The sequence below is a fragment of the Homo sapiens genome, chromosome 10 (assembly GCF_000001405.40).
Source record: "Homo sapiens chromosome 10, GRCh38.p14 Primary Assembly".
Taxonomy (NCBI): Eukaryota; Metazoa; Chordata; class Mammalia; order Primates; family Hominidae; genus Homo; species Homo sapiens.
The window spans coordinates 52,127,495-52,146,703 of NC_000010.11; the positions used below are offsets into that span (position 1 = coordinate 52,127,495).

The 19,209-nt window shown below is 36.0% G+C and overlaps 1 protein-coding gene across 5 annotated transcripts in view; it reads left to right on the forward strand.

Annotated features, from left to right (window-relative positions):
- The window catches only part of PRKG1 (protein kinase cGMP-dependent 1), a 1,307,463-nt gene that overhangs the window by 1,136,607 nt on the left and 151,647 nt on the right, over positions 1 to 19,209 (forward strand). For all 5 annotated transcript variants that reach the window (NM_001098512.3, XM_017016413.2, NM_006258.4 and 2 more), the window contains one exon: positions 6,346 to 6,411. In NM_001098512.3, coding sequence (NP_001091982.1) covers positions 6,346 to 6,411 — 66 coding nt within the window. The remainder of the gene's footprint in view (positions 1 to 6,345; positions 6,412 to 19,209) is intronic.

Below are 19,209 nucleotides of genomic sequence, written 5' to 3' on the forward strand. Positions count from 1 at the left end.
GGAAAACACCTATCATCTATGGGCTAGGGATGAAATGTCAACAAAACAAATTGAGAAGGTGGTGTCAGAAAATAATTGGGAGATTAATTTATTATATAGAAACTTAGGGAAGGGGACTACTAGAGACAAAGTATATAAAAAGGGGTCACATGCTTCCCCATGTCAGAGGGTCCTAAAGTGATGATGATCGTGATGATGACCATGATCATGATGATTGTCACTAACATTTATTGGTTGATTACTCTGTGCAAGCATGATTAGAAGGTATATAATTATTTGCATGTATTAGCTGATTGTTCACTTAGGTTGTGGGTTTTATTACAGTGTTGGAGGCATAAATCATGGTGGAAGAGCTTCAGGACTTAGTGGAAAGTGGAATTAGTGATTGACCTGATATGACTTTTCCTTAAAGCACATTTATCTGCCAAGGGATCCAATTTTCAAAAAAGCATAGTCAGATTTACCACCAACTCTACAATTCTTGTTTATAATTAATTTATTTCATTTTTTGTGGTTCTTTGATGCTTGTCATTTCCTATCAATTTTGATTATCCTACCCCTTGTAGTAAGATTGCTTTTGATTTTGAGATGAAAAGAATTTGCTTTGTGCTGTGTGAACTAAACTTAACTGGGGACATTAAACTGCTGCACATGACAGAGAGTAAAGAGCTCTGACCCCGGGATTGCTGTAAGCTCATAAGCAACTGGAGTAGTGTCGAGTTTCCATGAAGGCTGGCACTGAGAGAGTGCTGGGACTCTGTGGACAGCAGTCATGTTGCTCCAGAGCTGAAAAGGGAGAGCCCCTACTCTGACAGCTACTTTGTATCAACTATGTTCTGCTTTGGCCTCATACATTCTGTGTTTGTTCCCCTGAGGTATCAATGAACGCTAGAGTTCTCTCATAGCCATGAGACACAAGAGAATTGGTTTAGAACCAGAAGAGCCGATGTAAATTCCCTGTATGGATTATTCAGATACTGACAGTGACGCCACTTTGGGATACAGCGATGATGAAGATTCCAGTGACGAAGTTCAAAGAATATCAGAGTCAGTGCACGGAAACCTATATTTGCAAATATTTTGGGATATTTTTCATGCTCTATTGTTTCACTGAAAGGAATTTCTAACACATCTGAAAATGTTAGAAGTGGCTTAAAAAGAGGCCACTACTAAACTGCATAGCTTTGATTGTAATTACTAATTAATCAGCAGCAATTTTGTAAAAATACCTGTTAATCTGCCAAACAGTAGCTACTTTTGCAGTAGTGCTTTTTAAAGTATTTATTAACTGCACACCGAAATCAACTAATACAGAGGCACAGAACTAGATAAGCGTGAGATTTTATTTTTAGAGACAATTTGCATGTTGGATGTGGACTGTTATGTGGCTAGATATACATTTATTTATTATAAAAAAGCAAGTCTAGTGTGCTGAATGTTCAGAGGTAATGTGTGTTTGGTAAAAGTTTTTAATTAAATAAATTGAACATTATAACCCTAGTTATAAAGTTCTCTTGTGTTCAATATTTTACCAAAATGTCTTGTATTCTTCTATTAGAAATTATTAAATACCCTGATCTGTAAAAAAGTACAAATGAAAGTAAGTTCAGTTTTTAAAAAATAATGCTTTTCTCCTCTCTTTCCTTGTCCTGCTTCTAAACCGCTCTGACGTGAAATGCCCGCTAACTTGGTAGATGTTCTGTGTGAAACCAGTATCATAACATCTACTGATAAAAATACATTTAATAACCCAGATTTATTAAGACCTTTGTATTATATGAATATGTAATATTACATCTTTAAATTCAAATGATATTTGCTTTACCATGGTCCTTGGACCCATAAAAGATATAAACATACATAGTAAATCACAGTGTTGTCAGCTTCTATCATTGACATTCTCTCTTTAGAAGTTAGAAATTTCTACTATCACTCCTAAAATGAGAGATTAATACATGTCATATACTAATGTCAAGGATTAATATATATGTTAATACTAAATCAGATAGTATTTTGTCTCTATCTCTAGCAGGCTTTGAGTGCACAAGAACAGAATTTACAGACACCCTCTTAGAGAGCTACAAGCACCTTAATAATAGAAATAAAATGACACCGTCATGGCAACATGAGTTTGCCATTGAATGAGCTTGGCGATGAATAATTCTCTATTGTTAGGCAACATTATTACAAAGCAATATAGCAGGCTAGGACATAGCTATGGATGGGAATTCTAACAATTTTAAAATGAAAATGACCCTTTCATATTAGTTTTACAATTGGAAACCCATAACTCTATTAGTGCTGGTTCTATTAACAAGTAAATATAATTTTCATAATGATGGACAGTGAATACTTACTGCTCAAAGGTTATTCAACATTTTAATGAATGTTGAGTTTAAATCTGATAGCAAAGCATATAAGCAGCCTACTGTTGTGGAAAGAACATGACTTTAGGGACAGCCAGATCTGTGTTCAAATTCCAGAACTGTAACTCACTAGCTATATCTGACTTTGGGTGCATTCCCTAACCTCTATTCTCAGAGCACCACCCTTTGTTATGTGCAACAAATGATATTTGTATGAAGTGTTTAATGTTGTTCCCGACATGTACTATATGCTCAATAAATGGCAAATATTATAATTTATTGTTTAATATGTTGGTTTTTCCCCCCAATGTGATGCTTCTTTCCAGTTTTAATATATGTCACTTTACTAGGTACTACACCTGGCTTTAGGCCATACTTGTTTTCCTTTTTAAAATAAAATTTTCTATTTCTGTTAACTATGTCACTCTTCTGATCTTTGATATTTTCCCCAATCTACATTTAAAAATACCAATGCATCTTCTTTTTGTTGCATGGAAATTGCATTCAACTTTAAAAGTATATCCAATTTAGGCCAGATAATATGACAAAATTCTGAAATATTGTAGATTTGTGATGAATACATTTTTAAAAATCTATATGCACAGAAGATATCTTCAAAATGAAGCACTATTTTGTATTTATTATATTTTTAAAGGATGTGGGCACTTTCTTAATAGTCAAATGGAAATATATTTCAGGAAAAGCTAAATTTAGTATTATATTTTCTATTTTGTGATGGTAGTTTGTTTATTATTGTTATTCATTTATTTGTTTTTGGCTGGCAGCAATTGATAGTAACTTATGCTGCCATGAACAACTAAGAAATAAGTCATTCACATAATTTATGAAGAACCCAATGAGCACTACAGAAGTTTCCTGCCCATTATGTTCATTTCACCAAAAATTCCCACTATGAAAGTGATAACGAATTGAAAATACATTGCTTACATCTATGGAGCAGAAAGAAAATCCCCACTGTGTTTCTGAATAGGAGTGTTTTATAAAACACCAGATAGAGCCTCCACAGAGACAACCATGAAGGTGTTGGGGATGAAAAGAATTAGAAATAATAAACAACAGAACACAGTTCAGCTGGGCCAGGCACTATGTTAAACTTACGTTTGATTATCTCACTTAATACCACATAGTGAGTGGCTACTCGTATTCCCATTTTACAGATGAGGAAATTGAGGCTTTCACTTGTGAATGGAGGGAATGGAGGTGGGTTTAACACCAGAATAGTGCAACTCCAAACCCTGAGCTCTGCCTTCCTACCCCAGGGTTCAGAAGTATGATGGATGTCTGTGCCATAACTGCTTTAAACACTAAGCATGTTGTATGTGTGAGGCATTTGGGATGAAACGGGGAGCAAAGCCAGCTATGGTCCCGGCCCTCATAGGGTTTAGTGGAAGGAAGACAGAGTTATTAAACAAATGACTACATAAATACACGTATTAATATAAATTACAAATGGTGATACATGCTTGGATGGAGAGGTATGTAGGGCTACGAGAACAGATGCATAGGAAACCCAACCTGGTCAATTCATGATGGCATCCCTGAAGAAGAGGTACGTAGGCTGGGATTGAAGAGATAAGAAGGGGTGAACTAAGCAAAAGTTAGAGAGGAACTTCCTAGGCCTATGGAAAGCATGTTAAGAACTCGTGGCAGGAGGGCGATGATGTGTATTAAAAGGAGGCCAGTGGCTGGGCGCGGTGGCTCACACTTGTAATCTCAGCACTTTGGGAGGCTGAGGCGGGTGGATCCCCTGAGGTCAGGAGTTCGAGACCAGCCTGGCTAACATGGTGAAACCCCATCTCTGCTAAAAATACAAAAATTAGCCAGGCGTGGTGGTGGACTCCTGTAATCCTAGCTACTTTGAACCTGGGAGACGGAGGTTGCAGTGAGCCGAGTGCTACTGCACTCCAGCGTGGGCAACAAGAGCGAAACTCCATCAAAAAAAAAAAAAAAAAAAAAAAAAAAAAAGAGGCCAGTTTGGCCAAAAGGCAGGGAATGTGAGGGAGACACTGGGAGGATTGTGCTGGGAGTTAACGAGACTATAACAAAAATTTTAGAGTTAAGATGATGTAGTATGGTGGGTGGATTAAAATATGTACAATAATTGATGGCTTTTTTAAAAAACAGGGCAACCAGTGAGAAACAAATGAAAAGGAAAGTTACTCATAAGAAAAACATAATATGCAACATATAGGAATACATTTTTTAAATATCGGGACCCAAGTGAAAGAAATTATGAAATTGTATTTAAAGATATGAAATTATATCTGAACAAGTAGAAAGTCATGCCATGTTCTTATATGGAAAAAGTAATATCATCAGAAATTCCTTGCTTTGATATCAATGAATAAATATTAATATAATACAACTCTACTAGAATCCCAAGGTGGGTGTTTCAGAAGTGGAAGATTATTTTAAAGTCTATATGAAATAATAAATGCTTAAGAATATCATCAAGGAATTTCTCAAAAATAATAAATGCTTAAGAATATCATTAAGCTATTTCTGAAAAAAGGATTTTAGTAAGGGAGAACATGCTTTGCCAAATATTAAATACAAATAGTTAATTTAAAGCGATTGTAATCTAAACAGCATGGTATAGCAACAGTGAAAGACACAGAGATCAGTGAAAAATAGAGTTCGGAAATATATTTCAGAATGTAATGTGTTTCAAAAGTATAAAAAGTCACTGGGAACATCTTTATTCTCAAAACTTTAAGAGCCTGTTATTAGAGATGTGATGTTTTTTGGTTTATAGACTGTATTATTAATGCTATATCATTTCATATGTACCTATCTCTTTAATATATTTCAAACATATTAATTATTAATTAACTTAGAAATTTTATTGTTTTTGGAAAAAGTAAATTTTCAAGTATAGCTTATTTTGTAATTTTTAAATTATTTTTAAAAATTCTCATGGGTACATAGTAAGTGTACATTTTTATGTGTACTTAGGTGTACATAGTAGGGAGTACATGAGATGTTTTGATACAGGCATGCAATGTAAAATAAGCACACTGTGGAGAACGGGGTATCCACCCCCTCAAGTATTTATCCTTTGAGTTACAAATAATTCAATTACATTAAGTTATTTAAAAATATACAATTGTGTTATTATTGACTATCGTCATCATATTGTACTATCAAATAGTTAAGTCTTAGTCATTCTTTCTATTTTTTTGTACCCGTTAACCATGTTACCATGATACTGATACTATTAATTTTTAACTAGCTGAAAATGAATTGTGAATGTTAATTTATCAAATCCACCTTTAACTACTGGATCAAACATAAGATACCAGGATAGATTTTCAAAGGTTTAAGAGATTGATAGATACGAATGCAGTAACAAATTAAATGCTTCTAAAGAGACAATATTTACATGTTTCTATCAGTGTGACTTAAGATTTGTCAAATGCTCTTGAAGAACCATAACTTCTGATATAGATGAATGACTATGTGCCATAAATTGCCAAAACATTAGCTACATAAAAACAGGGTCTTTAAAGTAAGGAAATAATTTAAACAGATCAATTGTTCTCAAGGATATAATGATAAATTCATATACAAATGGATCAGATACTCAGTTTCTAGAAGTATAGCTTCAAATTCTTTAAAAACTTTTGCATATTTATGTTTGTTACTATCTTGATCATTATCCAACTATTTTATTAATTTCCCCAAAGGGAATGATATCAAATTTGTTCTACTTGGGTGAATGAAATTTCAAATTTGAAAATTGCAACTACTGGATTGTAACTGTAGGATTTGTATGATTAATGACAAGGGTAAGATGATTCCTCAAAAAAAATTTTGAAACATAAACAAAGCTTAAGCCTGGAGGTGGATAAATCAGAAGAGTTTATATAATGTAAATTTTTTCCTGAATTAATCACAATGGACACTGTGCTTTGATATTAAAGGTTATTTTATTTGAATGTCTCTATTTTTCACATAGGGAAGATGTGAGAACAGCAAACGTAATTGCTGCAGAAGCTGTAACCTGCCTTGTGATTGACAGAGAGTAAGTACATTGTTTTATTATGTGAATTACACACTCATATCAGCAACACACATGAGTTCTTGGAATTAGACATCATTTTATGGAGCTATTAATACTTGTTTTATATCTTTTCATTTTTAAATGAATTCTGTATTTGTTTCTCATTCCCTATTCTTAAAAGTGGCTGGCTCTGCCATTCTAGCTTTGTGATCTTTAACAAGGTACTTAACCACTGTGAGCTTCGGCTCAGCTCATTTGTAAACTGAGGTAATGAAATATCATACAGATATTTTGAGGATTAATGAGAACATTTGAGTAAAGCATTTGTCCAAGTGTCTTTTACTCAGGAGGTACTCAACCAATGCTAGTTATTTTTGTAAATTTTTAGAATTATTATTCCATTTTTGTTAAGAAATGGGTTATTTTTTTAGTAGTTTTAGTTATGCCCTCTATTCTCCTATCTCCAGACTTCCATAATAGAAGCATTTAGGGAAGAAACTTTTGAAGAAATAATCAGTTCTAGACATAGGCATATATTTAAGGCCATTAAAAATTTGTCTGATAATGTCTATCCCTGTTTCTTCTCTCAGTTCTGGCTTGCTCTTTTCATTACCTGGATGCTTTATAAGTTAAGCTGCAAATGTCAGATTATTGATTCTCCAAGAGCATGGTTAAAATGCATATGTACTTTCTGGAAGCAGTGGAACAGGCTTTTCTTCCTTGTAATGTATGTGGATAAATTCATCGAATAGCCAAGTACATGACCCAAGAATAACTGTAAAACATCCATTTTAGTGGAGCCATTCAAACTGGAATAGGCAGTGAGTAACCACATAGAATGAACCTGAGGAGCCAGGTATGATTAGCCTAGAATGATGGAGCTGGATGCCGAGCTCAGAGGACTCCGGATGGAGAGAAATTCTACCTGATTTACAAACCTCACTTTGAGAGGCCCTTCTATGCTGGATCACTAGAACCAGAGCAGAGACACAGTTGCAGAATGGTAGCAATATCCATGGATATTTCTGAAATTGTTATATTTTGTCTGGTTCCCAAAAACAATAATTACCAATTTGCTCTTCCATTCAACTCACATTTTACTGAGAATCTCCCATGTGCAAAGCATTGTCCTGGAAGAAGATTCAAAGGAGCAGCACAGATGCTGGTTTTAAGAGTTAGCGTCTAATAGAGATGTGGCATATACAAAAATAACCATGATACAAGGCAAAAAAAATGAGTTCAGAATAAAATTTTAAGGGAATTCAGAAAAGAGAGTGAGTACTTTTGAGAAGAGTCGGGGAGGTGTTAAAAAGTGTTAAGTGGATGTGGAAGTATAGGAAAAGCAATATAAATATGATGACTAGTGTAAGAATTACTCATAGGAAAGCTATCAGCCATTTAAACTGGCTAAAGTGAGACTGTGTAAAGGTAGTTGGTGGAGGTGCTGTAACAAGTTCACAAGCATGCTGGCACTGGTTCACTGAGAAAATTGAATGTTGGGATAAGGGCAGTTCAGACCATTTTATGCAGCAAAAAGTTATCACTATAACAATGGATTTAATAGACTAATCTGAGAATTCAGTGTAAAACGAATTAGAGGGAGAGGTTAGAGACAAAATATTTGGTTAGGAGTCTAAATTCAGTTGGTGATTATGAGACCATGGGTAGGAGGAACCCATAAGAAATGAAGAGGTAAAACCAGAAGGTTTCACGTCTTACTGAATGTGAAGAGCAAGGGAGAAATTAGGGATGTAGTTGGGATAGAAAAGATGTAAAAGGAAAGTAGAAAAATCAGTTTGGTAGGTACGATGACATTCTACTAAGAATGTAATGCATTGAACATACAATATCGAACACTCAAGAATGGATGGCCTGTAGGAGACAGGAAATGTGGGACAGAAACTCTTGTTAGAATTAACTTAAAATTAACTTTAGAATTGCCTACATGTGGTTAGCAGCTGAAGCTATGAGACAGGACAGAATTGCATGAAAGAATCGAGAAGAAGATTAAAGAGCCAAGGCTAGATTTGGGGAAATCCTTTCATTTAAGCATTAGGGAAAGTAAAACCAGTGAAGAATAATGAGATGTTAGAAAGCAGAGCGGTGTAGGAGACTTCAGAAAGCAAGAGGATATTTCATGAGAAAAGAGATAATCACAGTGTTACAAGCTGAGAGGCATGCAGATAGAGAAAAGGGCAATAGGCTTAGTAACCTGGGAGAAAACAGTTTTATTAAAATGTTAAGAATGGAATCCAGATTACAAAGTGTGACTAGGTAAAAAGGAAGTGAGAACACTGAGCTTACAGTATACAAGTATCCAGGAAGTTGGAGCAAATGAAATACTAAAGGGGATATTTGATAAATGGGACCCCAGGGGAGAAAATAGTGGGCAAATGAGGAAAGGTTCTTGGAGAGCACATATATATGTATTTTTGATTTTCTGAAAAGTGAAAAAGAGGCAAGGTAGAAAATTTGTAGAGAAATGCCAGGATGTAGATAAGGATCGTTGTGGGAACTTAGATGGAGTTAATCTTGCCTCTTTTAAAGCATGAAGCAAGGAAATCTAGTGAGGGGAGGAATGAGACTAAGGCTTTTCCCTAATCCTAATTTTCTCTCCTTATCCAAACCTAGGCATATACAGTGTACACTGACAAGTGAATGGATGTGGTCAAAGCTCAATACTTGAATCTTGACTACACCATTTTACAAGAATATGGGTAAATTACTTAAATTCTGAGTCTCAGTTTTCCTGTCTGAAAAATTGGATAACATTATCAAAATTATAAAATTGATTTGAAAATCAAATGATTTAACATAGGTAAATGTCCATGCACAGCACAATACATGAAGTAAGCACTAAATAAATATGCCCTTCCTCTTCTTACAGAAGGCATAGGATTCCCTTGGATTTAGCTGTGTTTCTCTCTACTCAGCATTGGTTTATCTTCAGGGTTATATACGGAGAAGAAACCTTGAGAGAGGTCTACCTTAAGCACAAATACAGAAAAATCAGCTTGAGTCTAAGAATTCAAAAAGTGCATTTGTATACTCTTAGCAGAGAAATTGGGTTTCTGACCAAATGTTGAATTCACAGCTGTATTTTTTAAAAAATGAAACTGTAACTGAAGGATCCTGTCAAAAGCCTGCTGCTGATATCTAATTTATGGCCAATTAGAAGAGCACCAGGGCTTCATCCCATGCAAACAGATGGCAGACATTAGCACTGTCAACAAAAGTAGCTTCCTTTACAAATTTACAAGCGAGGTACCATGTTCCGTAAGCCAGTGATTATGCTTTATCATTCCAGAGGGAGAGCAAAAGAACATTATTGTAACTAATCATGCATGTCATTGACAAACCAGAAGATGATAAACAGATACATGGTGTCCTCAAAGGCATTCTCTAAATATTGGTTTTTTGTAGTCTACTTATTATCTTAATAAGTACCTGCAGTGATGTCAAAATTTATGAATATTGTATAAAAAGAATATTAGTCTAACAGAACCATCCATTAATAAATTTCTTAAATATATAAAAAACAATTAAGTACCTTTGGTACCTCTTATTTTGGAATCTGTGAAAAGAAATAAATATAAAACTAAGTACAGTCATTCTTTAGTATCCACGGGGGATTGGTTCAAGGACCCCCTTTGAATACCAAAATCCACAGATGCTGAAGTCCCTCAATATAAAATGGCATAATATTTGCATATAACCTATGCATGTCTTCCCTGTACTTTAAAATATATCTAGGTTACTTACAATACCTAATAAAATCTAAATGCTATGTAAAAACTTGTTATACTATATTGTTTAGGAAATTACGAGAAAAAAATTCTATGCATATTCAGTAAAGGTGTAACCAATGTCTTTTTCAGCTAAATCTTTTTGATCTACAGTTAGTTGAATCCACAGATACAGAATGCATGAATATGGAAGGCTGACTGTATACTTTTGTATTCTGTAATCTGTTATGCAATGTCTGCTTATTCACCGTTATGGGAAGCTGTTTAAACTAAAAGTTCTATTAAGATAATTGATTTTTTGACACATTGAGGATCATTTTGACAATTGTTCAAAGACAGCAACTTATAATTATTAGTAAACCTTAAAGAGTTGTATATTTTTCCCCAGGAAATTAAGATTTAAATTATCAGGGTCCTAACTCTATCCCTGATTCACTGTGTTGCCTCTGAGATACAGCCATACTGGTTATGAAAATGGAAACATTTTCATGCTGGATGGTAAATAGCACTCGTCTGAGATCCCTGCATGTCTCTCCCACTCCTCTTCTGCCCCAGTTGTCTGATTGCCCCCTACTCCTAGGACATTCTAGATCCTTCTTTAATCCAGCAAGTAAGGAAGTGACATCTGGCAAAAACCGGGACTATTGTCCATTTTTGTTGGTCAGTTCCTGGGCCCTACTGGCCATTAATTATCTTTCCTTTCACCTCTGATAATGTCAAGCTAAAATATAATGTCCTATTATCAATTGTTTTCATGCTTTTGCTTTACCAGGCCCATTGTTTAAATAAAATCAATTAGAAAGAAAACAGAGGAACTTTTCTGTTTGTCATGGGAGTAAGACTCCTAAAGGATCCAGTGGTCTTCATTCTTTCCCTCAGAATCACTCCAGGTGATTCTTGAGGCCCTTGTGGGACCCTAGAAGACACTAAGAATGATTTATACAGCACACATGGCTGATGATGTCCCTACCATCAGTGACACTCTGTGATGTTTTCTCATACCATGGGGCCAGTTTTGTTATTGGGACAGTCTAGGAAGTAGAGACCAAGAACTAGCCCAGAGTAAATGCAGTGTGATAGAGCATAAAAATTATGAAATTAGGAGGAAATGTCAAGCATGAGATTGTAGGGCATTGCAAGTAGCAATCTCTGAAACTGAGATATCTCTAGATATCAGGGAAGTCTGGGTTACCATGTTTCAAGTTTTTGACCTCCCCAAACTATAGTCACCTGATATATTCATGCCATATATTTAAAAATGTACCAAGACTCTCACCATAATTGGGGAGCAACTCATAAGATCAAGGTTGATCCCAAGGTCCATAAATAATAAAGTAGCAAATATATTACTGAAGAGGATTAGACACAGAGAAAAACGTCACTGGAGTTGGCAAACTAAAGACTATTCCTTGACACCCAGACTGGAGCCTAAGTATTAAAACTGGGTATGTTTTAATAGATTTGGCATTAGAGCTAGACTAGGCAATTTTTATATTTATTTATAGAGAAAGATAACAAGGAATGTCTGATTCCTGTGTCAGGTACTGGGATACTGAGATGAACAAGACACAAATTCAAAATAGGTTTGAAAACTGAATATATGTATAGAACCAGCTCAATTAGAGACAAATTGGTGTCTGTATTAAAATGGTTTTTTGTTCCTTTACCAGTACTAGTAGGAAAACCTCAGTGCCTTCCACATGTAGCCTCTGTTTAGAACTCGTTTGTAACTCTTTAGCCACAACAGCATCAGTCCCCAAGGATACAGCTTCTGATGCTGGTCTCTATCTCAATCTCCTCCCAGCCGCATTGCTTACGGTGAGTTTGTGTCTTCCTCCATTTCCTGTTACTGCGTTTATTCAGATATTCAACTCCAAGTTCCAGGGGCAAAGAAACAGAAATACTGAATCCATGCTCTGGGATAGGAAGATCACACAGTGAACCAGCCATGCAGGAACCTGCATGGCCATTGGAACCCAGAGTGCCAAATGGGATAGAAATATGTGGAGAAAATAGTATTTATGTAACTCTTCTCAGGGAGGTGCTATTGGTGTTTCTGATAAGCAACTTGGGATTGGGGGGTAAAGCTCACCAAGGTGCATACTCAAGGTAGAATAGGTGATCACTAAACTGCCTGGTAGGTTGCATTAAGTGTGGGAGTTTTATCTTCTGAGTGGGGTCTCCAGGCATGACTCTATTATAGAACTACATGACTCGGACAAGGGGTTGGCAAACTTTTTCTGTAAAGAGCCAAATAGTAAATATTTTAGGCTCATGGGACAAATTACCTTTGTTGCAGCTACTCAACTCTGTCTTTGCAGTGCAAAAGTAACTAAAGATGATATGTAAATGAATGAAGACAGATGTGTTTCAATAAAGCTTTATTTATGGACATTGACATTTGAATTTATATCATTTTCTTATGTCAAGAAGTATTATTCAGCATTTGATTTAGTTCTCATCATTAAAACATGTAAAAATCATTCTTATCTCATGACCATACCGAAAATAAGCAGCTGACAGAATTTGGCCTGTTGGCCATAATTTCTTGACCCCTGACTTAAACAATATTAGAAAGTGGAGGGCTATCCGTAGTTGTCCTGCTCCAGTTTTTCTCCATCCTGTATTCAGCTTTTTAAAATAAAGCAAATACATAAAAAGAACTGATTTGAAGCGTCTGATCAGCACTGCCCATGGTGTCTTCCAGTGCTGCTCCTCCTGATGCCATCTGTCTGTTTGTCTTCCAAACACTGGCAGGCATGCTTTACTCCATCCCCTCAATTTCTTCACTTCACTCTTCTGTACACATCTTCTGTAACTCTTTCGCATTGTATCCCCATCCCACTCCACTCCCCATGCACACACCTCTTTTTATAGTTGATTCCTGCACCTCTTAATTCCACTCTTGCATTCTCTAGAAGTTTGCTTCAGATTTTGCATCAATTTGGTAATAGCTAACTAATTAGAGATTAAAATGGTTCTCTGCAATAGTTATTTGCATTATGATAACATACCCCTGAGGAATGACAAATCGTGAAAATCCAGAAGAATCTTTCAGAATGTCAGGTGCCATTGGGGGAGAGAAGAGGGAAAGTAGAGGGGAGATTTGGGGACAGCAAACCCTTGCAGGCACCACTCTAAGATCACCAACTAGGTCAGTCTCAGGAAGGAACATGCACCCAATGGTGATTTGCCCACCGAGGTCACCTGTATTCTTCTTCTTATATAGCTTGTCACTCTGTGTCCACATGATAGGACTGTATGAACTCCACATGTCACATCGCCCGTTGTCACATTGCTTAACTAATAGGATGATACACTTAAAATATTTCACAGCCTCAGCCTTTCCTACAGCCTAAGTGGATTTTATTTTGGTTCATTTTCCAGAATAAAATCTAGGGTGATGTGAGGATATTGGCAGGATGGTCACAGGAAAACAAATGTGCCTTTTTAGAATGGTGTCAGCTGCAATTATTTGAACTTGTCTTTTTTTACAGAGCTGTTATTGACTGGTGTGCTTCTCAAAAAATGTGTATTAAGCAGGAAAGATAAAATCTAGAGGTTTAGAAGAAAGAGTAACATTATATTCATTCAATTTAATGATGTGGGTTGAATTATAGCATGCCCTGAACAAGCATGATCTAACTACAAAATAAGTACATTCTCATTCGAAAAGGAGTATACCCTGAGACAACATTTGTGGTTTAAAGTCATGGAAAGAGACAGTTGAGACAACTCCTCATGTTTGCCTGGCTTTGAAATGGTAATAGACATTCATCCTATTTCAAGTCCTTATAGCAATGATATACAGCATGACTGACTGGGATGCCCAGACTGTTGGTTCATCCACCCAACCAGAGCTTACTGGTTACCTGCCATATGTGAACCATCCAGACATCTAGTATTTGGGGGTTTAAAGGCAAATATTTAAATATTATATGCTTATTTCCATCTCTGTTATATGGATAGTTTCCAGCAATAATCTGTTAAGCCACAAACTTACAAAGGTTCTCTTTAGTAACCTTTTGACTCTGCTCAAAGTAAAAGAAGTCCAGTCTCAATTTTTAATATGCTGGTGGGCCATCAATCAAAATTTAACACACTTAAGAAATTATTGTTAAAAAATGTATATGGTAAGTGGATAAGTCAGAAAGTCATAGAAGAGATTTAAGAAGGAGAAGTAAAAGGGAACATACAAACCAGAGCTTACCAAGCGTTTTTTAGAAAAGGCCAAACAATAAATATTTTCAGCTTTGTGGGCCAAACAGTCTGTGGCATGAAAACTCAATGCCATTTCACCCAAGGGCCATAGTTTTCTAACCCCTTTTATAAATAAACTTATTTCACAGTTGAAGAATTTGAGTCCCAGAAGTGTCAGGTATACTCAAATCACACTGTTTAATAAGAATTAAGACAGATCGGGTATTCACATTCTTACACTATAATGCATTTGTTATATCTCAGGATTTTAGAAAATAATGAGGGTTTGAAAAACCTCTTTTCCGAATCCTTTAGTTTAAAAATGAGGAAGGCGAGTCCCAGAAGGAGTGTGGATTGTCCAAGCTCTTTAATGTTAAGGGTGGGATTACAGCACAGGCCTCATAACATCTGTTTCAGTGATTTTTCACCTACCCCACATTATTCTGTAAATGACTAAGATAGAAAACTCATACATTTATTAATTCAATAAGCACATACTGAGAGTATCAAGTGGGTTTTATGCTCAGTGCTATGATATATAGGGATGTCTAAAAAGAGTTTCCTTCAAGAATCTTGGAGTCATGAAAATGAATAAATCGTATGATAGTCCACCTGAAAAAGAGGAATTGATGGCTTATGAATTGAACTAAAATATTTTCATTGAATTAAATCTTAATCTAATTACACTACTTCTAAATATATATAGATATATGGATCTTTATAGATATCTCTCAATATATAGATCAATCGATCAGTGGTAAAATATTTGAGTTCCAAATGACTCTTCAAATGGATAAGAACCTCACGAGTCACATCTCCATCATCCTGGCTAAATATTTGGAATTAGAATTTAAATGACAATTTTATCAATTCAGCTAATAAATTTATTTCATTAAAAACATGTGGGCCCTTACTAGCTCACTCCCCTCACATCCCATAACAGCTTTGGTTCGCCTGTTGATTTTCATTGTACCGTCCTTTTACTTGCCATACCATACATTTACAACACTCGTTTATCTGTATTAACTTACAAACTACAAGCTTAAGGAGGACAGGACTATGTTTATTTGGTTCACTACTGTATCCACAATTAGCACAGTATCAGGAAATATAATAAGCACCTACTATCTATTGAAATGAACGAATGAATGAATGGATGATGCCATATTAGTCTGAATCTAATCAGCATATAGTAATTTGAGCAGCAAAGTGTTATGATAAAAAAAAATAGTAACTATAATAGGGGACTGGAATAATAAGGGATTACCAAGTAAGAAGCAAAGAAAGCTTTAGAACATATAGAAATAGCAGCTATAAGGAGTATTCACTAACACTACTCCTGTGAGAGAGAGCACCCAGTGAAGACACCTCCCTTCTTGCCACCCCCCAGCCTTCCCCATTCCACCCTGCTGAGGCTGAGAGTTACACCTTGTTATAGAGCAGGGTCCCTGAAGCACACCACTATTGACATTTGGGGTCAGATAGTTGTTTTGTGTTGCGGGGGCGGGGCTGTCATGTACAAAGTAGGATGTTTGGCAGCATCCTGACCTCTACCCACTAAATAGTAGTATCCCTCACCTCTCCAGTGTGACATTCAAAAGCATGCCCTGAGCAAGCATTGCCAAATGTCTCCTGTGGGGTGAAAATCACCCCCTGTTAGGAAGGATATAGTCATTACTTACTGGATGTCAGTGAAGTCTCTGTGATGCCAAGCCAATAGAACTTGTGCCAGGAATCTGCACTGTAGGGTGCAGGAAAGCTCTGTAAAGGGAGAGCTTTAAAACCACCTGAGGGGAAGTCCGCTGGGGAAGCTGCTGGCTGCCATGTACTGTAGTAGCCAGACACAAGAGAAACCTCAAGAGCCTACCAAGAACACTGGAACCAGGAAGCTGAACCCTTTTGTCCTTGAAGTATCTCCCCAATACCTTCTGCCAACAAAGTTTCAGTGCCAGTCAACCCGATCCACTTTTACAGAGCAGTTAAAAGAGTAAATTTTGGACTGAGAGGGAATAAATCAATTATCCATACAGATTCCAAACCAAATCCTATTCTGGGATCCAGAGATATAAAGGTGAATAGCAAAGTCTTCTCCTTCTTTGGATTAACTCTTGGTCCAAACAGATGCATTCAAAAATCAGCATGAGAAACTGCATTTTGAGTAAGAATAAAATACTTGGGGAACATTGAGGATGGAGGAATATGTTTGGCTGGTAGCATCCCAGAACTTCCTGGACACTATAACATGAGAGCCAAGTTGTTAAGTTTGAGTAGGTATATTACAAGTGAGGAAGGAAGGGTAAAGACAGCTACTGCTGAGGGAAGGACCTGTATAGAAGACAAGGAATTTAGAAAGACCTTTGTACAGTAATAAGGGGAGTGTGGCAATAACAGAGGATTTATGGGACAAGGAACTGGATAATTAGGAGGAAAGCTGGAAGATGTGTTTGGAAAGAAGAGATGGGGATAGATAGTAAATAAATATCCTAGTATCTCAAACTAAAATAATCTAGATTTATTTTGGGGGCAATAAGAAACCAACAGAGAACCATTGGAACTGTATTTTGTATCTGTTTTCGAAGGAAGAGAGTAGCAGATTAATTACAATGGGGAGGAACTCAAACAGGCAGACTTTTAAGATACTGCTGCAGTAGTCCTAAAGGATGTTCATTAGAGCTTAAGAGCCTTAACTTTAGTCTAGGGCCAGGCACAGTGGCTCATGCCTGTAATCCCAGCACTTTGGGAGGCCAAGGCAGGTGGATCACTTGAGGTCAGGAGTTCGAGACCAGCCTGGCCAACATGGTGAAACCCTGTCTCAACCAAAAATACAAAAATTAGCCTTAGCCTAGCATGGTGGCACACACCTGTAGTCCCAGCTACTTGGGAAGCTGAGGCAGGAGAATTGCTTGAACCCAGGAGGTGGAGGTTGCAGTGAGCTGAGATCGCATCACTGTACTCCACCCTGGGCGACCGAGCAGACTCTGGCTCAAGACACAAAAATAAAAATAAAAATAAATAAACTTTAGTCTAAAGTAGATTTTTATTAATAATTAAATGTGAGGGATGAAAGGGAAATGTTTCTAGTTTAGGAGACTTGGATGTATTTAATAAATAAAGAAAAAATAATAGATGTATGTAATAGATAAAGAATAGAACAAGACAGAGCAGGTTGAGATGGAAGTAACTGGCTGATTCAGTTACGGATATTGCAAGCTCAGGCTGCCTAAGTGATATGCAGATAGTCAGCAGATGTCCATTGGCAGTTAGAAATGTGAGTTTTGTTTTGTTTTACTTTTTACAATCAGATGATGAATGGAAATTGATGTTGGAGTTCATAATTATTTTAAAAATATAATAATCACAGCTTTGATTACGTTAATTACAGTTATTGTTTTGTTTTGCACCAATGAATAAATAATTCATTTTTTTCCAGTAAATGCTTGAAACCTTACTATATTTCTAAGACTTGCATTTTTGTCCATTGGATGTTATAAAACTTGTTATTTAGAAATTCACAATGTCTTCGGAACTCATAAACAAGTTGTATGAGTGAATAAGAAAATATAAAAGATTTCAGTTTCTAAATCATAAATATCCATCTTAATTTCTTCAGTTAAAAAGATAATATTTGAAATTTTATATTTGAAAATCTCTTTACCTTTTTTATGTACAACATTTGGCTGTTTATTTGAGGAGACGTTATAATGCTTCTTGTGTTCCAGAGGTAAACCAGGGAGGTGGAGGGCACCAGGATTTATTTCTGACAGAAGCTTAGCAATCAGTTTAAAAATTCACTGTATAGTCATGAAGTTTGAGAGTTGAATTCTGCTTTAGACATCCACAGCACTTTTTTGGTGGAGTTAAATGGTTTTGCTTACTTTAGTATTCACACTTGCCTGGTGAGACAGTTATTACAGGCCCAGCTGGGTCATAAAGATCTAAGACTTTTCTTTTCTTTTCAATATGTCTAGCAGTTGGTACTCGTTTTGGAACTCATAGCATGGATGTATGAATTGGATTAGCATCAGCCACAATAACAGTGAAACTTCATTCCCAGACAGCTGTGTTTACAAAGGAGGCCTTTTTAGAATTTACTTCTTTGCATAAAGTACAATGATCATATTAGCCATTGCTTTGCTACAGTCATATAATTGAATTAGTTTTAAATGGAAAGCCAGACTAGCAAAGGCAAATCATGATTTGCCTTTAATAGGCAAGAAGGGTGTTGTCCTCCTAGCTGCACTGGAGACAGTACATTGTCATCTAGACAAGAAACCCACTTGGGCTGAATAACATTTTATTTAATTATTTTTCATTATTCCCATGGGGTTCACTTTAAATCTTCTCTCTTTTTTTACCTTTCTAATATAGTCTATGTCATATGATTATAAATGTAATAACTGTTTGTTTTAGAAAGATTGGAAAGCATAGAGACATATAAATATAACCCTACCATTCAAAGGGAATTACTGTTGATAATTTCGTGTCCTTAAATAGTGAGATAATTCTGCCTAGATATTTTTCTCCTGCGTTGTCTACATCCTGGGGCAGCATTAATAAATCACATACACACAGATAGAGATATTAATATATACACATAGATGCTAGATGTACTATAGATAAATAGTCATTAATTTTTCTCACAGCAAACTTGCAAGGAATTCTTTTTTTTCTCCATTTCAAAGGTAAACTAAGCTTCACATAGCCAAACTGTCAGGTTGCAAAACACACAGCTTGTAAGTAAAGAAATGGTATTTGAGTATAATTCTATTTTCAAAGCCTATTATAGCACATACTTTACCACGTTGCATTAGCAATTTACCATGTTAATAAAAACACTTCATGTATAATTGAGTTTCTTTGTCATAGTTTCTTG